At 42.1% G+C, this 27,238-nt stretch overlaps 1 protein-coding gene across 1 annotated transcript, besides 2 other annotated features; it reads right to left on the bottom strand.

Moving 5' to 3' along the window:
* Positions 9,610-19,880, bottom strand: RBM22 (RNA binding motif protein 22). Its single transcript, NM_018047.3, has 11 exons — positions 19,750-19,880; positions 19,262-19,315; positions 18,060-18,089; positions 17,317-17,449; positions 15,609-15,709; positions 15,351-15,523; positions 14,324-14,524; positions 12,894-13,058; positions 12,037-12,125; positions 11,713-11,844; positions 9,610-10,699 (listed from the first exon to the last, which is right to left on the bottom strand). The coding sequence occupies exons 1-11, from the start codon at positions 19,801-19,803 to the stop codon at positions 10,569-10,571; spliced, it is 1,263 nt and encodes a 420-aa protein (NP_060517.1). The 5' UTR covers positions 19,804-19,880; the 3' UTR covers positions 9,610-10,568.
* Positions 19,122-19,898: an enhancer, noted in NCBI's record as "NANOG-H3K27ac-H3K4me1 hESC enhancer chr5:150079866-150080642 (GRCh37/hg19 assembly coordinates)". NCBI's record gives its function as "activates a minimal SCP1, AML or CMV promoter by ChIP-STARR-seq in naive and primed H9 embryonic stem cells {active_cell/tissue: H9 hESC(naive and primed)}" and the evidence as "EXISTENCE:reporter gene assay evidence [ECO:0000049][PMID:30033119]".
* Positions 19,899-20,675: an enhancer, noted in NCBI's record as "NANOG-H3K27ac-H3K4me1 hESC enhancer chr5:150080643-150081419 (GRCh37/hg19 assembly coordinates)". NCBI's record gives its function as "activates a minimal SCP1, AML or CMV promoter by ChIP-STARR-seq in primed H9 embryonic stem cells {active_cell/tissue: H9 hESC(primed)}" and the evidence as "EXISTENCE:reporter gene assay evidence [ECO:0000049][PMID:30033119]".

A 27,238-nucleotide genomic window follows, 5' to 3' on the forward strand; every position in this document is an offset into this window, starting at 1 on the left:
CGTGAACCTGGGAGGCGGAGCTTGCAGTGAGCCAAGATCATGCCACAGCACTCCAGCCTGGGTGAAAGAGCAAGACTCCGTCTTAAAAAAAAAAAAAAAAAAAAAGACTTGTGGATTGGACGAAGATAATTTCAGTTCTGTGCTGTTCATAAGCAATATCCCTAAAATATGTGGCACAGAAATGAAATAAAAAAATTGTCTGACGCAGTGGCTCACGCCTGTAATCCCAGAGGCGGGAGGATCACTTGAGGTCAGGAGTTTGAGGTTGCAGTGAGCTATGATCATGCCATTGCACTCCAGAATGGGCAATCGAGACCCTGTCTCAAAAAAAAGAAAGAAAAAGAGAAAGAGAGAGAGAAAGAAAGAAATACTATCCAAAAGAAATGTGTTTTAGCCATATTAACATCAGACAAAGTAGACTTGATGGCAAAAAGTATTATTGTGATAAAGCAGATCTTCACAGTGTAAGAATAAACCCATAGTCACAGAGGAAGATTTAACACATTTTTTTCAATTATCGATGGGTTAGCAGACAAATAATTAGTAAGGATACAGAAGATATGAAAAATACAATGAAAAAGTAGCGTCCTGCACCACCAGATTACTCATTCTAACTACATATACTTTAAAAAACTGAATATACAAAATTCAAAACTTTTGTGCATCGAAGAATACTATCAAGAGGGTGAAAAGAGAACCCACAGAATAGGAGATGATAACTCAAAGAATAAATATCAATGAAACTAGGGATATAAATTAATAATTTAATAAATAAAAAACAAATAAGTGAAGAAAAAGGGACAAAACTTCCTTTTTCCTTGTAGAAGACTTTCAAATAATGTCTGTAGACAGTTGCCCCCTTAGAAGGTGGAGGTTAATTCCCATCCTATTGATTATAGACTGAACTTAACCAACTTGTTTCCAAAGAATAGAGCATAGGAAGAGAAAAATTGTGACTTTACAAAGGAGAAGCCTGGAAGACATTCCCTTAACAAAGTAATCAAGGTTAACATCATCAGTGATACTCAGATTTCTGATATGAAGTGATGAGAAGGGCACTTGCTCTTTTGATATTGTTCCTCAAATCCTTAACCCCAGTCTAATCATGTGATAACATCAGAAAAACCCAGATGAGCAACATTCTACGAAAACACCTGACTGGTACTTTTAAAACCTACCACAGCATGAAAAACAAGGAAAGACCAATCAACTATCACAGATTGGAGGAGACTGGGAGACATTACAACTAAGTGTCATGTGGAAGCCTAGACTGAATTCTGAAACAGAAAAAAAGGACAGAAAAAAAAATGGTGAAATCCAAATAAAAACTTAGTTAATAGTATGGTACCTACGTTAATTTCTTAGTTTTTTTTGTTTGTTTAATTTTTTGTTTTGAGACAGGGTCTCACTACTCTGTCACCCAGGCTGGAGTGCAATGGCTCAATCTCGGCTCACTGCAACCTCCAGCTCCTAGGATCAAGCGATACTCCCACCTCAGCCTTCTGAGTTGCTGGAACTACAGGTGTATGCCACCAAACCTGGCTAATTTTTGTATTTTTTTAGAGCTGGGGTTTCACCATGTTACCCAGGCTGGTCTTGAACTCCTGAGCTCAAGCAATCCATCCACCTCGGCTTCCCAAAGTGCTGGGATTATAGGTGTGAGCCACCACGCCTGGCCAATTTCTTAGTTTTGAAAAACATACTAGGCTGGGCGTGGTGGCTCACGCCTATAATCCCAGCACTTTGGGAGGCCGAGGTGGGTGGATCACAAGGTCTGGAGTTTGAGAACAGCCTGGCCAACATGGTGAAACCCCGTCTCTATTAAAAATATACACAAGTTAGCTGGGCATGGTGGCATGTACCTGTAATCCCAGCTACTCAAGAAGCTGAGGCAGGAGAATTGCTTAAACCCGGGAGACGGAGGTTGCATTGAGCTGAGTTTGTGCCACTGCATTCCAGCCTGGGCGACAGAGCAAGACCTTGTCTCAAAAAAAAAAAAAAAAAGAAAAGAAAAGAAGAGGCCGGGCGTGGTGGCTCACGCCTGTAATCCCAGCACTTTGGGAGGCCGAGGCGGGCAGATCACGAGGTCAGGAGATTGAGACCATCCTGGCTAACACAGTGAAACCCCGTCTCTACTAAAAATACAAAAAATCAGCCGGGCGTGGTGGCGGGCGCCTGTAGTCCCAGCTACTCAGGAGGCTGAGGCAGGAGAATGGCGTGAACCCGGTAGGCGGAGCTTGCAGTGAGCCGAGATTGCGCCACTGCACTCCAGCCTGGGCGACAGAGCGAGACTCCGTCTCAAAAAAAAAAAAAAAAAAAAAAGAAAAGAAAAGAAAAGAAAAACATACTATGACTATGTAAGGTGTTAACAAGAGGGGAAGCTGGGTGAAAAGTATACAAGAACTGTCTTTGGAACTTTTCTGTCAATCTGAAGTTATTCCAAAATAACAAGCTTTGAAACTCAAGACAGACAAATCCCACAGAGAAAACACCAGAACCTGATGGCTTCACCAGAGGATTGTATCAAACATTTAAGGAGAAAAAAACAAAAAAAGCATTGTTATACAAATGCTTTCAAAATATAGAGGAAGAAACATTTCCAAACAAATTTTATAATGCCGGAAGAAACCCGACAAAAATATTACAGAAAAGACCACTATTCCTCATGAATATAGACATAAAACCCAAGATACATATGTGTGTGTTTGTATATGTATATATGTATATGTATATACACACACACATATTTATAAATATATCTGTATATATAATTTATAAATAAATATATGTAATACATCATGACTAAGTTAGGTTTACCCCAGGAATGCAATCTTGGTTTAACATTTTTGGTGCAGGAAAAGCATTAATGAAATTCAACACCAATTTATGGTGAAAATTCTTTAAAAATTTAGAAGCCAACTCCTTCAGTTTGATCAAAGTTAGCTCCAAAAAATCAGCTAATTACATACCTAACGGGGAAATACTGCATGCATTTCCCACAAGCTTGGGAATAAGACAAAGATGTCTTCTCTTATCACTTCTATTTAATGTAGTACTCATGGTCCTAGCCAGTTCAGTTAGGCAAGAAAAAGAAATAGGCATAAAGATTGGAAATAAATAAATGAAACGGTCTCTGTTCACAGGTGAAATTATTGTTTACATAGATCATTGCAGACATCTACAAAATAATTCCTAGAAGTACTGAGTGAATTTAGCAAGGTCACAGGATACAGGGTTGAGACACAAAACCCAACTGTTATTTCTATATTAACTGCAACAATTGGAAAAGACATTTTTTTAAAAATAGCAACAAATCACACAATTCTTAGTAATAAATGTAACAAAGTTGTGTAAGACTTGTACACCAAAGCCTTAAAACATTGCTGAAATTAAAGAAGATAGTTAAATGGAGACATATATTGTGCTCATAGATTGGAAAACTCAATATTTGTAAGATGTCAGTTCTTCTCAAATGGACCTATTTTCAACACAATCCCAATCATAGGCTTATGTTTTTGTAGAAATTGGCAGGCTGATTTTAAAAATTTATATGGAAATGCAAGAGCCCTAGAAAAGGAAAATGTTTTAAACAAACAATAAATTACATCATTAGGGTGGGCCCTATCCATATGACTGGTGCCCTTATAACTAGAGGAAATTTGGACACAGAGGCATGCACATTGGGAGAACAACGAGGAAAGATGAAGGCAGAGTGATGTGCCTGCAAGTCAAGGAATGCTAAAGATTGCCAGCAAACCACTAGAACCTAGGAGACAGGCATGGAACAGATTCTCTCACAGCCTCAGAAGGAATAAACCTGCTAACACCTTAATCCTGGAGGCCTAGTCTCCAGAACTGTAAGATAATAAATTCCTGTTGTTTAAGCCAGTTTTTAGTACTTTGTTATGGTAGCCCTAGCAAACTAATACAGATTTGGTATATGAGATACTAAGTTAGATTTGATTAAAACAAAAAGCTTCTGCTCATCAAAAAAAATCACTAGGAAAGTGAATAAAGCTGGGCGTGGTGGCTCACACCTGTAATCCCAACACTTTGGGAGGCTGAGGTGGGCGGATCACCTGAGGTTAGGAGTTCGAGACCAGCCTGGCTAACATGGTGAAACCCCATCTCTACTAAAAACACAAAAATTAGCCAGGTGTGGTGGCACGTGCCTGTAGTCCCAGCTACTCAGCAGACTGAGGCAGGAGAATCGCTTAACCTGGGATGTGGAGGTTGCAGTGAACCAAGATCATGCCACTGCACTCCAGCCTGGACGACAGAGAGAGACTGTATCTCAAAAAAAAAAAAAGAAAGAAAGAAAGAAAGAAAGAAAGTCAATAGGCAGGCCACAGACTGGGAGAGAGTATTTGCAAACATGTCTCTGACAAAGGACTAATACCTAAGATGTATACCTTCTATAACTAGTTAATACAAAAAAAGACACCCAATAGAAATGACCAAAATATTTGGACAGACATGTCACAAAAGAAGAAATATAGGCTGGGCGCAGTGACTCACACCTGTAATCCCAGCACTTTGGAAGGCTGAGGTGGGAGGATCACTTGAGGCCAGGAGTTCAAGGCTGCAGTGAGCTATGATCACACCACTGCACTCCGGCCTGGGTGACAAAGTAAGACCCCATTTCTAAAAATAAAAATAAAAACAGATTTTTCATCCTTAAGTTTCTCAATGTTAAAAAAAAAAAGATATGTAAATGGCCATAAGTAGTTGAAAAGGTGTCCAACTTATTTGTCACAATGGGAATGCAAAATAAAACCGCAATTAAATACCATTACACATCCACCAGAATGGCTAAAATTCAGAAAACCATTTACATCAAAGGGTGGCAACACTGTGGAGCAACTGGAACTCTCCTACATTGTGGTAGGAATGTAAAGGGAAAAAGTCTGACAGTTCTTTTTAAAACCAGACATGTTTAGTAATTCTGCTCCTAAGTATTTATGTATTTTTTATTTTTTTGAGACAGAGCTTTGATCTGTCACCAAGGCTGGAGTGCAGTAACGCCATCTCGGCTCACCGCAACCTCCGCCTCCCAGGTTCAAGTGATTCTCCTCCCTCAGCCTCCCGAGTAGCTGGAATTACAGGCACCTGCCACCACGCTCGGCTAATTTTTGTATTTTTAGTAGAGATGGGGTTTCACCATGTTGCCCAGGCTGGTCTCGAACTCCTGACATCAGGTGATCCACCCACCTCGGCCTCCCTAAGTGCTGGGATTACAGGAGTGAGCCACTGCGCCCGGCCTTAAGTATTTATTCAAGAGAAATGAAAACATATATTCACAAACAATTTGTACAAGAATATTCATAGTAGCTTTTCAGTAGCAAAAGAAAACCCAAACAAACTGGAAACAGCCTTGGTGTCCATCAATGGGAGGATGGATAAGTGATGGCATAGTCATACAGTAGAATTCTATCCTGCAATAAATAGGAACTGTATACAACATTATGGATGATTCTCAAACACATCCTGCTAGAAAGAAGCCAAATATAAAAGAGTTCACACTGCGTGATTCTATTTATATGAAGTTCTAAAGGAAGCAAAACTAATCTGTGGTAATAAAAATCAGAATAGTAGATGCCTCTGGAGATTGGTGGGAGTGGGTATTGGCTAGGAAGAGCAGGAGGAAATTTTCTGGAGTGATGGTAATGTCCTATATCTTGACAGGGGTTTGAGTCACATGGATGTATACATTTGTCAAAACTCTTGAATGACATACTCATGCATTTTAGTCTATGTAACTTTGACCTTAAAAATCCACAAAAAATATTGAACTCTTTCATCCGGACAGATGGAAAAAAGAATTGAACTCTAGTTAATTAAACATGGACCCCAACTTAGGATGGTTCAATTTATGATTTTTCAACTCTAGGATGTTGTGAAAGCAATACAACCATTCTGTTTTTCACTTTCAGGAGACTAGTCAATAAATTACATGAGATATTCCACACTTTATTATAAAATAGGCTTTGTGTTAGGTGATTTTGCTCAATAGGCTAAGCTAAGCTGTGATGTTCAGTAGGTGTATTAAATACATTTTTCACTTAATGATATTTTCAACTTATCGGGATATAACTCTACCATAAATTGAGAAGCATCTGTATATAAATGCTGAAATGTTTAAAGGTGAAGTCTGTTGATGTCTTCAGTTTACTCTGAAATGCATAAAAACAGACTGATGGGGCTGGGCACGGTGACTCATGCCTATAATCTCAGCGCATTCAGAAGCTGAGGTGAGCAGATCTCTTGAGGTCAGGGGTTTGAGACCAGCCTGGCCAATATGGTGAAACCCCGTATTGTAAAAAATACAAAATTTGTATTGTAAAAAAATACAAAAATTAGCCGGGTGTGGTAGCACACGCCTGTAATTCCAGCTACTCAGGAGGCAGAGGCAGGAGAACTGCTTGAACCTGGGAGGCGGAGGTTGCAGTGAGCCAAGATAGCACCACTGCACTCCAGCCTGAGTGACAGAGTGAGATTCTATCTCCAAAAAAAAAAGATTGATGGATGCATAAAGAAATGGATAGATATGTGATAAAGCCAATATGGCAAAGTGTTAATTGTAGAATCAGTTGGTGGGTATACGGTGGTTCACAGTAAAATTATTCTAACTTTTCTGTACATCAGAAAATTTTTACAGTAAAATGTTAGGGGCAAAAAAAAAAAAAAAGACTACAGAATCTCTGAGAAGAGTAACATTTTCTAATCTTAGAAGTGATCTTGGCTGGGTGCGGTGGCTCACACCTGTAATCCCAGCACTTTGGGAGGCCGAGATGGGTGGATCACAAGGTCAGGCATTCAAGACCAGCCTGGCCAACATGGTGAAACCCCGTCTCTACTAAAAAAAAAGACAAAAATTAGCTGGGCATGGTGGTGTGTGCCTGTAATCCTAGCTGCTCAGGAGGCTGAGGCAGGAGAATTGCTTCATCCCGGGAGGTGGAAGTTGTGGTGAGCTGAGATCGCACCACTGCACTCCAGCCTAGGCGACAGAGCAAGACTCTGTCTCAAAAAAAAAAAAAAAAAAAAAAAAGAAGTGATCTCATCCTATACTACTATTTCTCAAAGGGTAGTCTTTACCTCATAAAAATCCAGGAACTTAGACTCACTGAAGTTTAAAAATTGCTCTACCTGCCGACCCTGGAGAATTGCACTCCACAGCCAGGGCTTCAGCTGCCACTACTTCACTGCCCATCCAAATCTTAATCTCCCTTAAGCTCCATTCCCCTTGGGTTGGGAATTTCCATTGGCCTTACAGATATCTTAAACTCACCAGATCCCACAGGGGATTCATATTTTCCTACCCCTACTTCCCAATCTCGCCTTCTTCTTCCAGCATTCTCTATTTCAGGAAAAGACATCTTTCTACCCAGTTGACCAACCCAGAGACCTGAGGTGGGAGGTTAGGGGTTACCCTAGACTCCTCTCTTTTCACCTCCATTTATTTCAGGTCACAGTGGCTCACTGATTTGGCTTCCAGAACATCTGTTATATCTCACTCTTTGCCCCATGGGCTGTCACTGCCTTAGTCCAGTTGTCATAATGCTTTACCTTCTGAGCTTTTTCCATGGGAGAAGAAGCTCAAAATATTACAGGCAGCAAAAAGGGTTAAGAGATGAGGCCTTATGACAACTAGAGAGAGATTAAGTACACACCAGGTTATATAGCTGGGAGGAGCTGAAGTTGAGATTTGAACTCAGGTAGTCTGGCTCCAGAGTCTGTTTAAAACACCATTACTTGCCTGGACACGGTGGCTCATGCCTGCAATCCCAACAAAGGGAAGGCCAAGGCGGGAGGATCGCTTCAGCCCAGAAGTTTGAGACCAGCGTGGGCAATGTAGTGAGACTCCTATTTTTCAAAAAAAGAGGAAAACACCATCACTCAGTGTAAACCTACTATATAAACAAGTGCCTTTTTATTATTAGATGTGAGGACATCTATATTTTTATTAGAGTAACACTAGCTGCTGTAACAGATAAATCCCCAAGTCTCAATGCCTTAATACAACAACAATTTCTCATATAGCAATATTGTCTTCTAAGTGGTGATGGAGGAACCCAGGCTCCACTGTGTGACTCTGCTATCTTCTAGAGACCATTCTGTGCATTCAGCCAGATGGAGAAAGCACATAGGACTGGGTGAGGGTTTTACAGGCCAAGCCTGGGAACGGCAAAAGTTGCTTTTCACCAAGTGTACCCAGCTGTGTGCCCTAGGCAATGGAATTTGGCAAGCAAGAGTTTTTGCCAAGATATAATTGCTCATAATTCTGGTTTATTTATGAATATCTATTCTATACTTCCCTTTATACTGGTTTTTTAAAAAAGATCCATAACCAAACTACACAAAAATTAGAATCTCCTCCTCCCCAAGAAAGCAAGGTTACAATACACAATTGGATAGGCATATATGTATGTATGTATGTGTATGTGGAGATGTAAATCGTTGAATCTAGCAGTTATTAAAATGCTATCCATAAGATTCACATCTCATTTACAAATTGGCTAAAAATCCTTTACATGCTCAAAAGCAGGCAAAAAAGACCCAAAAGGATACAAAGATACTTGGAAGTATCGTACATTGCTTCACATTTGACATTACTAGCAATAAAATGAAAATTTCTAAGTATAGATTTTTAAATCTTTAAAAAAGGCAATTTAAGTTCTCTAGGAAAAAAAATTCTGCAAATCTAAAACAGGGTGCCATATGGGGCATGTCCTTCTTGGAAGTAAACATTTTAGATAAAAGTAGCATAAAATTTGCTTCAGGAAATGGCCGGGCGCGGTGGCTCACTCCTGTAATCCCAGCACTTTGGGAGGCCAAGGTGGGCGGATCATGAGATCAGGAGATCAAGACCAGCCTGGCCAACATGGCGAAACCCCATCTCTACTAAAAATATAAACATTAGCTAGGTGTGGTGGTGCATGCCTGTAATCCCAGCTACTCAGGAGGCTGAGGCACGAGAATTGCTTGAAGCCAGGAGGCAGAGGTTGCAGTGAGCCAAGATCGTGCCACTGCACTCCAGCCTAGTGACAGAGTGAGACTCCATCTCAAAAAAAAAAAAAAAATTTGGCTTCAGGAAAAATGGATTTATAATAAATGTTTCCTTTTAAAATGACTTGCCTAAGGATGACCTATTACATTTTATTTTTTAGAGACAGGATCTCACCATGTTGCCCAGGCTGGCCTTGAACTGCTGGCCTCAAGCAATCCTCCCACCTCAGCCTCTTAAGTAGCTGGCACTATCGGCATGCACCCAGCTGGGTGACTTCTTAAAGTTACCCTTTATCAACTACCCTACACCAGGCTCTGTGCTAAGTGTTTCTGTGCACTATCTTATTTCAACCTCACAATCACCCTTTGAGATAAATACTAAAGAGGTCTGAGCCTTTTAAATCATCATGGAATCAACCTAAGAATAGGCTGAGGTTAAAAAAAAATAAGTAAATCATCACGGAATGGATATAATCAAAAGTCTAAAGCAACATTTAAAAAATTTACAATATATAACTCATTTCTATTAAATAACTTCCACTGACCTCGAGTTCAGCTACCAAAGGATAAAGAGGAATCTAGAAATAAACCCATGACAACATGTGAAAAATTGACCCGTTTTAATTATTTAAAAACAAAAAACACATCAAATTTCCTTTACCATCTACAATTCAGTTATATCCAAACACTCTAAGACCAAACAGAAGCAGGGATGACAATGAGACACTGAAGACACACGAAGGTGAATGCTGAAGACCATCAGAGTCCCAGCAGGAGGTCACGTCTTTCATTCAGACGCTCCAATGCTTTTCATTTCAGTTTGTTAAAGAACGTGTTTTACAGGAAGTTCTTTACAGTAATTTCATGCCAGACACCAGGTTTCTTCGATGGTACACAGCTCCATGAAATTTGTGTTTCCATCCAGTTGACAGGAATAAAAAGGAATTTTTATTTTTGTCTTTTTTTGGGCCGTAGAGACGTAAAATGGTCAGATTCCTTTAGGAATAAATGAGGAAAAGGAGAGGAAAGAGAAGATCTGGGCTGTGCTGGTGCTGGTTTCTACTCATCTTTCGGAGGGTGTGACTTCAAGAGTTAAATCACACTTAGGCCACTACAATGATTAGTACTAGTTATCTTTTTTTAAGATGATAAAAAGGAAAGTATCCAATGGACATAAAAATGGTCAAAGGTTTTTTTACTGCAGGTCAATTTTTCCCCCGACCAAAAAATATACAAAATGAACATATAATTGGGAGGGTAACTCTGCTGGACATTCCAATTCACTCATCTGCGTGTCCCCCACACGGGTAAGGGGAACAGGCGTTCGGTTTTATTAGTCATGTTACAGCAGTAACCAGATGTGTTAATGGCAGCTTATTTACGGTCCATCGATCCTTTGAACAAGTATAGGAAAGCATGGCTGTCAGTCTCTGACTGCTCACATCTGAGCACATTCAGCTACCATGGAAACTACAAGGGAAGGAAAAATATATTTATTCCAAGATTTACTGGGAGTTTTAAGTGCCCTTTCTTCCACAGAGCCCCAGAGTGGTGACAAGGTGCTAGGGGCTGCTGTGTTTTCCAGCATGAGCTCCCATCCTCTGAGGGTCCTGAGAAGGATAGTGGATTGGTCCTGGAGCCCGCATGAAAGGAGGGGGTGGTCCCATTGGGTGGAACATGTGTGGCCCAAAACCTGCAGATACGAGAGAACAAATGTGTTAGGCTGGTAGTTTCCTTGATAACCTTTCAAACCTCTCAATCTTGCTAAGGTTAAAACCACCTACACATAAATCAAGGTTGACACGGGGCTTAAGCAAATGTCAGTTCACAAACTTACTTCCACTTGTTATTTCCTTGGTTTTAGAAACCTTTCCCCCACAGTCCAAAAAACTCCACAGCACTCAAGGTATCGCCTAGTATGTCATCTGAGTCTCTGCTATGTATCCAACATGCCAAATCCTACCAGACAGGATTCAGTCAGGATTTGGGAGATAAGAAAGAAATCAGGCTGATGGCAAAGACTGTGTCATCATTAACCTCAATGCTTGACACCAGAATGGAGGGTGCTCAGAAACCAGATTCTCTTCAGAGTATGGGCTCTCTGCCACAGGAGAACTGGCTACCTGTGATTTCCTTCCACTGTTAACACTGTCTACAGCAGTGCTATACGAAGTGCCAGTCCTCCACCTATTTCTGGCCACTCAAGACAAAGAGCTTGAGTCAAAATGTAAATTATACGACCAGGCACAGTTTAGTTCATCTGACAGTTTTTTTGGTAACAAGACTTTCTCAATGAAGGAAGGGGTTCACTGATTACATTTTGGCACAAGCTCCTGATCTTGTGGCAGACAGGTGATAAACACTTTGTAAAATGACACCCGCTCACAGCCCACACTGGGCAATAGTGCTCTAGGGCATCCATTAGCATTTAGTTTAGAAAAGGGAACAAATTGGTGATAGATCTTTGTAATCTAATAATCTTACTCTGCTGACACATATACGCGGATCTTTAGAAAACTGGCCCCTTTCTTCTCCTCGGCAGAGCAGGAGAAAGAAAAATTTCAGAAATCCCAACAGATCAACTTTACTGGTAGACTTCTACAGAGCAAACTCACAGGATTTGGATGTGTTGAACATGATGGTGAGGTTTATGAGACAGAACTTTCACAAGGATTTCTCTGGGCTAAGAAGGAAGATGGAAGTTACCTGGGGGTGGGGGTGGAGCAATGCCAGGGGGCGGTGGCAGAGCAATGTTCACCACAGCTGGAGGACCACTTGGGGGCAAGTTGAAGTAGTTGGCAGAGGCTTCTTCTTCTGCTGCAGGAGGAGGAGGAAGAGCTGGAGGAGAGAAAATAGTCAACACATAGAGGGGAGAACAATTGTGCAACGCTGTTTCTACCACCTTTACATTCTCAGAGGTCCTACTGGGAGAGTAGAGCGGCAACATGAACCAGACCTGGGTCCCATCTTCCAAAATAGGAACATCAGGGCAGAAAGAGCTTCTGAAGTCAGCAGGGAGTCTGCACTCACCTCCTGGCAATCCTGGAACAGGTTCTAGTTTGATCCCAGAGTCTGTAGTTCCATCTTTCTCTTTTTCTTTTCCTCTGGCTGCCTGGGATCTGGGAAACACACATGCATACAGTCGGCACTCTGGCCCACCTTATCTCACACCTCTGCTTCTTACATTCCCCAGTCCAATGGAGTTCCTTCGCTCTACCTCCTCCTCAGCACACACTCTTTTCCCATAAATGCCACTGTGCACAGTGAACAAGAGCAAAGGTTTTGACACCAGAAAAGACCTGGGTTCAAAAGCTGCTAGAACTATCATAAGGACCAGAAAAGGCAACACATACGTGTTTAGCACAGTGCTTACCACATAGGGAGCGCTCCACAAAGGCAGATGCTGCTATTAGCCATCACTTCCCTGGTTCCAAGTTGGAGACATGTTCCCCCTTTGAACTGGGTCTTTCACCTGTGTCTCTCTTATGCAATCATCACTTTTAAACTTAAAATAGCGATTCTTCCCTGTTTTATCTTCTCCACTGGACAATCAGCCTCTAAGGGCAGAATCTAGGTCTAATTCATTTATAAACCCTAAAATTCACCTTTCATGGCCTGGCATTATACTTGGCCTATAATAGCTAGTCACAAAAACATGAACCTTCAAAGGAGTAGATTATACACCAACCCCCTGAATACATTTCCAAAGCAGGGTTCTCCCAACATCCACAGGAATCAAGTATCACATAGAGAGTGATCTTTGAAAGATCTCTTTAAAGATCCTGTTCATTTAAGCCTGTTAACCAAAAGCCTACTAGTCTCCAGAAAATGAAATAGTTTCTTAAAAATCTAAGCAAAATGTCACTTAAAAATAGTTTAATTCTCACCTTCCCCATTTCACATTCAGTCTGCGGCCATTTACAATCAACTTATTAAAGGACTTCTCAGCAGCCACTTCTGCAGCCTGCCGTGTGGCAAACTGGATGAAAGCACACTGCTGTCTCTGCACAACAGTGATCGTCCGGATCTCTCCGAACTGGTAGAAATGATTTCTGAAGGGAAACAGGCAGAGAAAAATGAAAGTGGGAGTTAAAAAAGATGTACCCAGGAGACTGAAAATGGATTAACTTTCACTGACACACCACTAGGCAGGTGGGCCCCAAGGTTATCTGCCTAACTACCCGCAGGTCTCCACCCCATATCTTGTCCTACTGTGGGTGCTGCTGATTGAGAGAAGGAAAGAAAAATAATGAGTAAATAAAGGTTCTCAAACATCTCAGGGTTTTTTCCCATGGAGGAAAGGGGGTTCTAATAGGTTCTTTAAAGACCCTAAACCCTAGATAAGAGGTTGGCAAACCATAGCTCTCAAGGCCCATGAGCCAAGAAAGTTTAAAACAAGAATACGTGACAGAGACTGCATGTGGCCCACAATGCCTAAAATATTCACCATCCAGCCTCTTACAGCGAAAGTCTGCCAACCCCTGGGGGTTGTCTAGCTCACTTAGATAGGGTTTAATGGAGACAGGCTACCAAGGGCAGGTTATAAACTTACAGGAGTTTCTTCTCCACTTTATCTCTTTGGAAGAGGTAATTTCCATTACTATCTGCCCAGAAGTCTCATCTAGCCAAGCATAATACAAGCCAAAAATAACACAAATTTATCAAATGCCAGTCTCTTTAAAAACCAACAATTTAAACCACAAGAGTTTTATCATCGCAAAGCTCTCCCTCCTCTACATAATTCATCATACTTGGATGCGTGCCATCCTTTAAAACTTGGCTGTTAGGTCAAATAGAATCCTATGTCATTATTACCATATGCCAGGATGGATAAGCACTCTTTGAGCTTTGGTTCTGAGACAGGGTCTCACTCTGTTGCTTAGGCTGGAGTGCAGTGGTGCAATCACAGCTCACTGCAGCCTTGATCTCCCAAGCTCAAGCAATCCTCCTGCCTCAGCCTCCCAAACAGCTGGGACTACAGGCACATGCCACCACACCCGGCTAATTTTTTTGATTTCTTAGTAGAGATGTGGTCTCACTATGTTGCTCAGGCTGGTCTCAAACTCCTCGGTTCAAGAGATCCTCCCAAAGTGTTGAGATTACAGGCATGAGGCACTGTGCCCAGCCACATAAGCACATTATTACTGTGGCACCATAAAGGACAATTTTACAAAAATTCCAGTCAGCATGATACTAACAATAGAGAGACTACAGAAAAATGTATTTTGTACAGAATGATCATTCTTGCAGTTTTTGCAAATAAATTATTCCAGGGCAGTTAAAGGCAAAAATAACTCTCTAACTTATACCCACAAACCTTAAATCTGTCTCAGTAATGGTATCACCTAGACCACCAACATATAGTGTGGTGATAGTTTTATCCTCTGGTGGGTCCAGCCGAGGCATTGTTGAAGCCCGCTTTAGAAGCTTGTCAGCTACAGGATCATTGATTCCGTAATAACGGTCTTTAATATTCTGATCAGCAAGGGGGTCATCTGGATCTGTAGGCTTCTCATGTCTATGATTCAAGAAAAAAACAAGGCATAAAGGTGAAACGAAGGTGAAAAAATGATTATCTTCCAAGAGTAGCTACATATTAAAGTCCTAGATACATATTCTGAAGTGCCTTTTGAACTAGAAACTATGGTTTCTACCAAAATATAATTACCAAAATAGACCTAATACCAAGAGATTTACTGTATCACGGAAGGAATTACTAGCCTCCTAAAAGCCATTAGGCCATCTAGGATGCCAAACTTTCCTTATAAATAAATACTCTTGACATGATCCACCCCCTCCCGCCCCCCAGAAAGGGACACATGATTACCCCTCTCTAGGTCAATGATTCTTAACACATTTGGGGTGCTGTATTCCACTGAGAATCTGATTAAAGCTATGAACCTCGCCCCAGAGAAAGCACATACATTATTTTTTAGGGGGTGGGGTTAACCAATCCCAAATTAAGAACTCCTAATCCAGATGCTTGGCAGTCTTAACCAAAACATACACACCCTTTAGAAGTCTGACCTTACTTTGACTTCAACTATACATTGAGAGTCAACTCATTTAAACCATGGCAGTGAAGATTTACTTCTCAGGCAGAAATGTTTAGGGTCAGCATCTATATTGTATGGCATAGCAATTTAGTTTCCAAGGCTCAATTGTAAGTAAAAACTACAATTTATTCATGCTCTTCTAAATTTCATAGTTCTAAGACATGAGGTATACCACATTAGTTGTATGACCTTTAGATTTTAAAGCAGAAACAGTTTAAGTTAGGACCTCCCACTTCTTAGATGAGAAATCATCTGAAAGCAAATACTGAAAATGAGGCTCGCTCTTGCCTGTATGGACATTCCTCTCCTCTCTTACACTCTCCTTTCACCCAGAAGGAGCAAATGTGGGGTCGATTCCTTTTGTAGTAGGGTGTGGTCCGGGCCAGTTTGAGCAGCATGTCACTGGTAGATGTGGCTTTCCCCAGCATGCCAACTGGCCGTGTTCCATCAGAGTTAGAAATCTAAGTGGGGATGACAAATTCAAAAGATAAATTATACAGACTGTGTCAATTCATTAGGATTTTTATCCAAAAAGTGGCAGCATACCTCTCTCTCCATATTCTGTGTATAGTACTCTTTGTTGACATCTGACTTTGGCATGTCATCTTTAAAAGACAATCCTGCGTCACGAACCTGGATGGGCAGGCCTGGTACAAAAAAAGAGGAAAAAGACCTCAGATGTATTTTAAAACATATCCATACTAACCATGCACACAGAATACATCATCTTTCCCTTCTCCTCTTTCCTATTTAGTACCAGAGACTTTACTATGTTTTTATTCAAACTCTTTAGCACCATCAGGTTACTTCTGCTACACAGCATGCTAAGAAATTGTCCAAATTCCTGAACTGTCAGGAAATTTGATGAAATTAATGCTTTAGAAAAAATCTTTTAGGCTGGGTGTGGTGGCTCATGCCTGTAATCCTAGCACTTTGCAAGGCTGGAGCTGACAGATAGCTTGAGTCCAGGAGTTCGAGACCAGCCTGGTCAACGTGGTGAAACCCCATTTCTACAAAAAATACAAAAATTAGCTGGGTGTGGTGGTATGCACCTGTAGTCCTAGCTACCCAGGAGGCTGAGGTGGATCACCTGAGCTTGGAAAGGTTAAGGCTGCAGTGAGCCATGACCATGCCACTGCACTCCAGCCTGGGCAACAGAGTGACACCCTGTCTCAAAAACAAAAAACAAAAAAATTATAAAAGAAAATTTTTAGATGAACAAACTGTGCCCATGGTCATATTCAACCTGTAAATTAGCTCCTAGTTTTTATTACAACATGATTTATTTAAAGTAAATGTAAAAGTGGTTTCTTTCTAGGTTAGTCTTACAGATCCTCTGGATAGTCACAGTCATCTAAGGGTCACTGTACTCCAGGACCAGACGCCTCCTTAACAAACATATAAATAATATTACATAAAATGTGGCCAGGACTCTGACTAGAAGAGTAACTCTAATGAACTTAACATACATAAACTCATATATTTTTCCCTTTCCTTTAATAGTAAAAACTCTTGTTGAAAAATTATCTTTCTGAAAAACAGTCACCTATGGTTAAAAAAAAAATTACTCCCAAAAGCAGTTACTCTGAAACAGTAGCAATATATCAGTTCTAACAACACAATTGAAATAAAAGTCTAAAGCACAATTAGGCTGGCTATAGTGGCTCTGGGAGGCCAAGGTGGGAGGACTGCTTGAGGCCAGAAGCTCAAAACCAGCCTGGGCAAAATAGTGACACACACACACACGTGCACTGGGTGTGGTGGTATACCAGGAGGCAGAGGCAAGAGGATCCCTTGAGCCCAGGAGTTCGAAGTTGCAGTGAGCTGTGATCACACCACTGTACTCTAGCCTGGGTGTCAGAGTGAGACCCTAACTCAAAAAATAAAATAAAATAAAGCACAATTACCCTGTGAGCTTCTGATTGGGATGGTGGAAAAAAGCTCTGGATCAAGAAAGAAGCCTAAGGCAAATAAATTATCTATCATAGGATCAACGCCTTTTACCTCACTTGGGCTACAGAGATGAAGGTTTAGGCCACTTTTGATTAATTCCCAACTTTTCCTTAAGTTCCTACTATTGTTCAGGACTCTAGAGTGGCCTAATTATGGTTCTTTTCCTGGGAAAAGCAGACCACGGCAGACATTCCAAAGTGAAATCAGAACCAGAGCTAGGGTGCGAAGTGGGAGACAAAAGACTGACTTGTAGTTTTAGGCACCTGCACACTTTCAGATTTATTGGACAGGTCAAACATACCATACTCTAGGTCTAAGAGGCAGGTCTGACAGACATTCTTCAATTTACTGCAGGTTTGGCACACTTCAGTCTTCTTGAAACGCATGCGGACTCCAGGGCACCAGCGAAACACTGTGAATGGCCTGGCACAGATCTGGAACACAAAGCAAGAGCCATAGAATGTCAATGGTCCTGATCTGGGCAATCTGGAGATCTGATAACAACGGGGCATTCAAAAAAGGATCCCTGAATGTAGGATTTAGAAGAGACCTTAGCAATCATCTAGTTGATTTGATGTTTCAATACAATTTTCAGCATCCTTCTCCAGCAAAAATTCAGAGTACAGAAATGAAATAGCCAAAGGGTCAAAGTTCTTCCCATCCTAGAGCTAAGCACCAATAATAATCTGAACCTTAATCTTTTTTAGGGGGAGTGGGGAGTGTCATGTAATTTTTTGAGAAGCTTCTGACAAGAATGACCTTCCTCCTCAGCTAAAATGCTCGAGTGGACAGTCATACACCACCTGGTGTACAAACTCCTCCAGTGCCCATCCACTGACACCGTAAGAATCTCTACATTAGAGGGTTCATTTTCTTACCTCCCACATAAACAGTTGCCAGCCAATGAATATATCAGTAATACATAAAAAGTTGTATAGCACTGATTTTTACTGGAAGACCTCAAAACTTAGTAAGCTGAAGGCTAATTTGGTAGAGAAAAGAAAAATGAAACAGAAATCATTACTCTTTAACAGACATACTTACTTTGCATTCCTTCCCATACTTTTCTTTGGTCTATAATAGAAAAAAAATAGAAAAGAACTGGAGTTACAGAAAGAAAAAAGCCAGATGTCTACTCTTTCCTTAAACATAACCCAAGAAATGTGTCTGGAAATCCCTGGCATCCTAGAGAGAGAAAAACAGCAACAACAAAACCCAAAACCCAACCTTTTTTGGGAAGAGGGTAGGGAACATACTATAACAACATATTATAAGTGATAACATCTCAAGAGTATATGGATCTGGGCTGGGTGGCAGTGGCTCACGCCTGTAATCCCAACACTTTGAGAGGCCAAGGTGGAAGGATTGCTTGAGCCCAGGAGTTCCAGACTAGCCTGGGCAACATAGCGAGATGCTGTCTCTACAGAAAAAAGAAATAGAGTATATGCATCTAATGCTAGGTAAGTGAGTGTCTTTCCACAGCCACAACTCTTAGGTTCATTTTTGGCTCCCAAGTTCACTCCCAAGAACTAACATTCCTAATGCTTTCCACAATCCCTAAATCAGAGAGGATACAGCTGTGGCCCGCCCACTTTACAAAGTTTAGTCAAAAGGTAGCTACTGTAGACTTGTCCTGTGCCAATGCCCGGAATATAGTAAATGTTCTGTTTAAACAGAACTATTCAAACATCTTGAACCATTCAAACATCGTGAACATACTAACATATCAACACCTCTACGACTACACAATAATACAGCCCTAACCTTATTATTGTTAACTGGTTCTAATTTTACCCTAGTTTGTAACAAAGGGGGAATGCTTACTTTAAAGAGATAAAGTACACTGGCCAAAAGGCATTTGACCAGGATTCAGGAAACCTAGTTTCTAGTTCTGGTTCTCCTCCTATCATGCTGACATTCCTAGAGCCAGAATATGTGAACTTAAATCCCAGCTCCATTCCTTACTATTGTATGAAAAGACACAAACGCTCTCACCTTCTGGTCAACAGACCTATTTCCTAGGTAAATGCTCAACAAATACTAGCTATCGTTATTACCCCTACATTACAGGAGTGTTACCGGATTCGTAAGAGAATACACATGACAGTTCTTTGCAAGTCGTCCAGCACTTCGCGTTAGTAAAAGAGCATCATTTTTTCTGCTTGTCTAAGAGAAACACTTCACAGTGTGCAAGTACCACAACATCGACAGGACATGAATAACTCGTTTCACACGCGATCACTCACCATTCGGATATATGGGTTTTCTCCAAGACATGTCTGGCACAGAATGGGGAAGTCCTGGTGAAAATGGGAAATCTGGTTGAGGACCACCCTCCGAAGACCCTGACACCTCAGTGACACTTGGGGTGGCGAGGGGGCGGGAAGCGAGGGTGGGGAACTAGGCACGGCAGGAACCCGAAGTCCATCACGACCCGATCGCGGGAGGGGGCGCTGTCTGCACTTCCGGCAGGCGGCGGGAGAAAAGAAAACCAGCTCTAATAGGCTGGAGGGGGCAGGGATGGAAAGGGTGCTGGTCCCGGGACCCTGGCTAAGCCCCCTCCCTTCAAGCCCGCAGGAGGATCGCCCTCCGCCCTCCTGCTCCGGCCAAGCTAGGCCGCCGCGCTGGCTCCTCCCCGGTATTCCTTCGGCCGCGCCGCAGGCCCTGTCCTGCCAGCTTGCAAGGTGCGCGGCTTCGCCTCCTCCTTCCATCCTCCTCCGGCAGGCACACTCACCGCATCCTCCCAGTTCTGCCTGTTGTAGGTGTTGGAACCCAGAGAGGTCGCCATCTTGAGAGCGTCCGGAGGTAGCTGTAGCTTCCGAATTGGGAGAGAGGACCGCCACAATCCCGTCAAGCCCCGAGGCTAGCGCCGCGCCGGTCGGCGTCTTATTTACGCGTCTAGGGCTTCTTCCGGGGCGGGGCCTTTGCGTCATGACGTCGCCCGCTCTTGGAATTTCTAAGCTTAACAATTGGGGTCCTGGTATAATGCACCTGGATGCTTCCTTCGAGTTTTTGCCTGCTTGGAATGAAGGGCCACACGTACAGTTGATTCATTTAACAATTGGGCGAAAGAATAAAGGAAGACGTAATGCATCAGAGGCTGGGGTTAAAATAGCGTTCGCTACCACTGAGGCGCTTATTATGCCAAACTCTGGGCGAACGTCTTGCGGTTCCAGTGTCTTATTTATTCGCATAACCTCTCTGTAGGGCTCTCTGTAGGGCTGCCAGATTCTGATTCTGTCTCTCTCTCTCTCTCTCTCTCTCTCTCTCTCTCTCTGTCACTCACACACACACATGCACACACACACACGCACGAATTACAGAACGTCTAAAGTTGAATTTCAGATTAACGGCGAATCGCTTTTTAATTATAAATATATATGGTACCTACTCGTCCTAAAGTAGGATTCGTGGTTGACCTGAAATTCACATCACTTAACCAATCGTCCTGTATTTTATCTGGTAACTCTACCCTGTAGGCAAGTATGATGATCCCTCTTTTATAGAAAAGAAAACAGGTTTAGAGAGATTAACCTAATCTCTCCTGATATAGCTCCTGGTTGTGGAGCTAAAAAGTGGTGAAGCCACAAATTCATTAGTACTGTTTCATTTCCAGCTTCTGAAATGACAAGGGTCTTACGAATCAACATATGCATTATTTGATTTTTGGAATAACTCATAACCACTCTGCCAATATTTTATGAGTTTCAAGCCATTCTGGTACCACTTTCATACTTACCGTGTCATCAAGCTACCTAACACATTTATTTAAATCACCTCATTAAAAAAAAAAGTTGATTTAAAGTATAATTTACATAAAGTTTTATCCTTTTTAGTTTTGAATTTTGTACATACATTCACTTACAGTCAAATATGGAATTGTCTGTCATCCCCAAAGTTCCCTTGTTTCTGTAGTTAGTCCACTTATCCCATACTCAAACCATGGCAATCACTAATTTGTGTTCTGTCCCTAGTTTTGCCTTTTCCAGAATGTCACATAAGTGGAATCCTATATATCCTTTTGGATCTGATATTTTTTCACTTAGTATTTTGTAGTTGAGATTCATCCATATTATTACATGTATCAATAATTTCTTCCTTTGTATTACTGAGTAGAATTCCATTGTATGGATATATCATACAATTCACTTGCCAGTTGCTGGATATTTGGGTTGTTCCCAGATTTTAGTGAATATAAATAAAACCATTATAAACATTCACATACAGATCGTTGTATGGACATTGGTTTTCATTTTGCTTGTGTAAATGCCTTAGAGTGAGATTATTTGATCATATGGTAAGTATATCTTTTCCTTTATAAGAAAGTCCTTGGGTTTATCTGAGCTTCTTGGATCTGTGATTTGTTGTCTTTTATTATATTTGGAAAATTCTCAAGTATCATCTCTTCAGACTGTCTTCTGCCTGGTTTCTACATCTGTGACTCCAATTTCACATGCCTTGTGAGGAGTGCAAGGTCAGAAATAACAGAGTCCACGTACATTTGTGTTTTTCCACAATGCCAGACTTTTACTGATGCTATTTCAATCACAAAAGCCACGAACTACATGGAGTTTCCAAGAAAGCAATTCTCCTTAGTACTTCCCACTCACTCAGCACTCAGAGTCTTGGACACACAGGCTCAAGGCACTCCACAGGTCAATCAATATTGCAAATCATGCATAATGGTATACTTAATCAACATATATATTATAGAGTGAACATTCCACAAACAAAATAACATTTAACATTAAGAGAAAAGAGATAGGACCCTTTTCTCCTTTAAGTCTGGAGCCCTCAGAATCATCTCCTTTCCTTCCTTTTTCCCTCTTTCCTCCCCCAATTTATTTTTTAATCTTTGTGGGACATGACTTCTAGGAATGAGCCTTCCTAGCAACATGGAACATGACTTCCTAGGAATGAGCCTTCCTAGTAACGTGAGACCTGAATTTCCTGGAATAAACCATCCTAGCGACAAGAAACCAGCTCAAAAAAGGAGGAAAAAGCGAACTGAGGCCAGGAACACATATTCCTTTTAAAATGCTTTCTCCAAAAGATGTTAAAGAAAAAAAGGGGGAAATGTGAAAGGAAATTAAATCTTGGGACCCCAGACTCATTAAGCCAAAGGGAAAAGTCAAGCTGGGAAGTGGGTCACACAAACCTGCCTCCCGCTTTTGGTTCCTAAATAAGATGGCTACAAGATGGAAAGCTACATGCCTCCCCCATATTTTGCCCACAAGGAAATTCCTAGTGAGGAATTTTACTTTCCTAGAAAGGAAAAAAGAAAAGAGATGAAAAAATATATATAGGGACTAGGCCAGATTTATAGCAACAAAAGGAAAGCAAACCTGGAAGCTGGGTCAAGCTTTATTATATTACTGCCTCCTCAATTAAAGCAATTCTCTGGGCAATCATTACCTTAGCCCTTTCGGTTGCATATTGACTTATTTGCAAACACGTACTATAACAACATTGTAAGCAGAAACAGGACAGAACATAAATTATTCCTTCTATTATAAGCAATAGCTTCTGCCACTAAATTCCCCAGGATCCAAACCAACCACTCAAGCAATGGATTAGTGAGGGTTTTGGATCTGACAGTTGCTTATCTGGGTTTTCATACTGGTCATAATTCAGTTTATGTTCTTTGATTCATCTGGAATATACACACAACATTCAGTTTTTACGGTGGCACAGGTTCCCCTTGTGCTGCCATGAGTATATCTAAAGCCACATAGTTTTGCAACACAGCTTTCCTCATAAGCATGACCTCATTGCTTAGCAAAGAGGTACTCATGCAGCTACCATTTAGGGCCTTTGGGTGTAATTCGTTATGGCCTCTATATGCCATATAACATCTTCGATACCTATCTGTGGTACAAAGATTGAAGCTAAGTGATCATAGCACTGGAATACCAAACATGTCCAATGAGATTGTAAATGAAAAAGGTTTGCTGGTTTAATGGAAGGGTCTGAATTACTGGGCAACATATGGGGGAGGCATGTAGCTTTTCATCTTATAGCCATCTTATTTAGGAACCAAAAGCAGGAGGCAGGTTTGTGTGACCCAGTTCCCAGCTCGACTTTTCCCTTTGGCTTAATGAGTTTGGGGTCCCAAGATTTAATTTCCTTTCACAATATATATAATCCATATTTTCCTTTTCTTTTTTTTCGAGATGGGGGTCTCACTTTGTCACCCAGGCATGATCATAGCTCACTGTTACCTGGAATTCTTGGGTTCAAGGGATCCTCCAGCCTTAGCCTCCCAAGTAGCTGTGACTATAGAAGCAGGCCACGGTGCCCAGCTAATTTTTAACTTTTTTGTAGAGACAGGGTCTCACCATGTTGCCCAAGCTGGTCTCGGAACTCCTGGGCTCAAGTGATTCTCCAGCCTTGGCCTCCCAAAGTGCTGGGATTACAAGTGTGAGCCATGGCACCTGGCTCCATGTTTTCCACCAGATTTTTTAACATTGTAGGGGCCAACAGAAAAGTTCCCCTTTGCCCTCTTAAGATTCACTGAAAATTAACTAGCAAAAGGCAGATTAATAGGAGAAAAGACATACAAATTTATTTGATCATAGTTTTACCTGACATAGGAGCCTTCAGAATGAAGACACAGATGGGAAATTGTCCATTTATATGCCTAGGTTCAACAAAGTATGGACAGCTATGTAGAAATAGGATTGGACAAAAAGCGTACTGATTTAGCGCTAATAGACTGAGTGGGGAAACCCAGCGAGGCCTGTCTGTCTAGATTCTTGGCCTCTCTCGGCAGCATTCCTTCCTTCTGGGTATGTACAGGACCGTCTTTGGAATGGGGGTCTTATGACCTACAATCTAAAACAAAGTAGCTCAGATAATTTATTCAGAGCCAGTTTTTACACAAAAGCAAGGCGGAAGTTAGAGTAGTTTTTTTTTTTTTTTTTTTTTTTGAGACAGAGTCTTGCTCTGTCGCCCAGGCTGGAGTGCAATGGTGCGATCTCGGCTCACTGCAACCTCCACCTCCCAAGTTCAAGTAATTCTCCTGCCTCAGCCTCCTGAGTAGCGGGGATTACAGGCACGCACCACCATGCCTGGCTAATTTTTGTATTTTCAGTAGAGACAGGGTTTCATCATGTTGGTCAGGCTGGTCTCGAACTCCTGACTTTGTGATCCACCTGCCTCTGCCTCCCAAAGTGCTGGGATTACAGGTGTGAGCCACCGCGCCCGGCCTAGAGTAGTATTTTACATTTTATGGCTGGCTTTGGGGAAAAGGGGTTCTCTCTATGACCCACCTTGAGGAAAAGGGATTCAGTGTCTGTGGCTAGGCTTGGGGAAGAATGAAGGGCCAGAGACAGGAAGGCAGAAGGTCAGAGAGAAACTTTTGCTTCTGAGGCTGCTTCAGAGCCTTAATTTGGGGTATCATTTTCTGAGCCCCAACAACATGTTAAAGTCTCTGTCCATTAGTTCAAACATCTGGGTTTGAGTAGCTGGGACGACAGGCCTGCACCACTACACCTGGCTAATTTTTGTACTTTAAGTAGAGGTGGGGTTTCACCATGTTGGCCAGGCTGGTCTTGAACTCTTGGCTTCAAGTGATCTGCCTGCTTTGGCCTCCCAACGTGCTGGGATTACAGGCGTGAGCCACCGTGCCCGGCCAAGTCATTGCTTATATAACAGAAGAGAATGAGGTAAATCATATTAATGCTCGGAAATGGGCAAGTGTGTTCTGTTAGACCGTCTGCATGGGGTTTGGTCAATCTGGTTAGGAATCAAGCGGGGCTTGGGTTTTTTTTTTGTTTTTTGTTTTTGTTTTTGAGATGGAGTTTTGCTTTTGTTGCCTACACTGGAGTGCAATAGTGCGATCTTGGCTCACCACAACCTCCAGCTCCTGGGTTCAAGCGATTCTCCAGCTTCAGCCTCCTGAGTAGCTGGGATTACAGGCATGCAACACCACACCCGACTAATTTTATATTTTTAGTAGACATGGGGTTTCTCCATGTTGGTCAGGCTGGTCTCAAACTCCTGACCTCAGGTGATCCACCTGCCTCAGCCTCCCAAAGTGCTGAGATTACAGGCTTGAGCCACCGCACCTGACCTGGGCTTGGGTTTTATTGCTATGGTTGCTTTCAATGTACCACAGATTTCACCTACTCTAGCATTATTCTATACTGTAGGTTGGGGCTGAAGAACTCAAGTGTTCATGCTTCATCCTCAGCTTACAGCTGTCCTGCCTACCTGCACAGTGGTGACTAACTTTCTAGGCCTTTGCCCATCCCCTAGAAATGGATGCTTGTTACTAGCTGCTTGGTAGGCTGGTAGCGGGGTAGAAGTAAAGGGGTTCTCTGTTGTTCTAATTCAATTCAGCCTCAGTCCTCAGCAGGCCCTGTGTGGGCCTTAGGAATAGATCTTTTCTCGGCATTCTTGCCCCCCAAAACTGGGCAAGTTCATTAAATGAGTGTAAAGAGGAAAGAAGTGTGAGAAATGAGATTTGGTATACTGCAAGGTTGGGAAGATGGGAAAGAACTAGCAAAGAATACGGAAGGAAACTTTCTAGCAGGGTAGACAGAAAATTGTTACTGAATTAAACTGGGGTCTGCTCACCCAGTGCCACAAAGCCATTGACATCAGGCTAGTAGCAAGAGAAAGTGAGGCATTTTATTGCAGGGCACCATGCAAGGAGAATTGCACAGATCATGCTTAAGACCCGAACTCCCAGATGGCTTAAAGCTACGGGTTTTTAAAGGCAGGGAAAGAGAGGTTACAGGCAAAGTCATAAATCAATACATAGAGGCTATACATTGGTTTGACCTAAAAAGGTGGGACATCTCAAAGCTGGGATGGGGGTGGACTCAAAGGTCATAGGTGGTTTCAAAGATTTTTTGATTTATGATTAAGGCGGTGAAGCTGTCTAAACTTGGGATCCACAGAAAAGAATGTTAGCTCTGGCCGGTGGACATGACTTCCTCCAGGCCCCTCAGGAAGCAACTTAGAACAATGAACAGTGGTCAGAGTTCAGTTCTCAGTTTCCCCTTATCTGAGGTTTAAAGCTGGTGAGAGTTCAGGTTTCTGAAAAGTTGGGGACATGTATGTTACCCTTAGTTTCTATAGGGAACAAAACATCTCACTCTGACTTCCTTGGCTATTGTGTTCAGCTACTTCTTGCTTATCAGGTTGCTCATTAACTTCTTTGGGCTAGCTAGGTGCCTAGAATTCCCTTGAAGGAACTCAAGATTTCCCTTTATTTCCATGCATGGAGGGGCCCACAAGCCTCCTAAAAGGGGGTCCCTGCTCTGCCTCAAAACCAGGAGTGTTGTGTTCTGGAAACCAAGCAAAGCCTTTCAAGAAGGGAGAGATAAACTGTCAGATCTACTGAAAAATTGCATAGTTAAGGACTGAGAACTGACCCTGTATTTAAGTGTGGTGATTGCTGGTGACCTTGACAAGAGCAGTTTCGACCAAGTGGTGGCGGTGAGAGTCTAACTGGAATGGGTTCAGGTGAGAATGGAGGAACTGGAAGGTTGAATTAGGGTTTTTTTTTTTTTTTTTCCCTTGAGACGGAGTCTCGCTCTGCTGCCCAGGCTGGAGTGCCGTGGCGTGATCTTGGCTCACTGCAAGCTCCGCCTCCCAGGTTCACGCCATTCTCCTGCCTCAGCCTCGAGAGTAGCTGGGACTACAGGCACCTGCCACCAGGCCCGGCTAATTTTTTTTATTATTTTTAGTAGAGACGGGATTTCACCTTGTTAGCCAGGATGGTCTCGATCTCCTGACCTCGTGATCTGCCCGCCTCAGCCTCCCAAAGTGCTGGGATTACAGGTGTGAGCCACCGCACCTGGCCATTTTTGTTTTTTAAAAAACTTTTACTTAAACAGAGACAAGGTCTTGTTAGGTTTTCCAGTCTTGTCTCAAACTCCTGGCCTCAAATCATCCTCTCACCTCGGCCTCCTAAAGCGCTGGGATTACAGGTGTGAGCGATCATGCCCAGTCAGAGTTAGAGGAGTTTTGCTGTACAGGGAGTGGAGAAATGGAGTGGCAGCTGAAGAGGAGAGTGAGGCCAATTTCTTTTTTAAGATGAGAGAAATCACATGCTAATGGAAAAGGGAAGGAGGGAGCTGCCGATGCTATCTGTGAATAGGTAAGAGGATGAGCTTCAGTGTTAAGAGGTGGGGCTGGGTTCCAACAGGAAGAGTATGAATAATTCATCTAAGTAAGAGGAGGGAAGGAACAGTTATGAAGGTACAGATGAA

This window comes from Homo sapiens, chromosome 5 (genome assembly GCF_000001405.40).
Source record: "Homo sapiens chromosome 5, GRCh38.p14 Primary Assembly".
In the NCBI taxonomy this organism is placed as follows: Eukaryota; Metazoa; Chordata; class Mammalia; order Primates; family Hominidae; genus Homo; species Homo sapiens.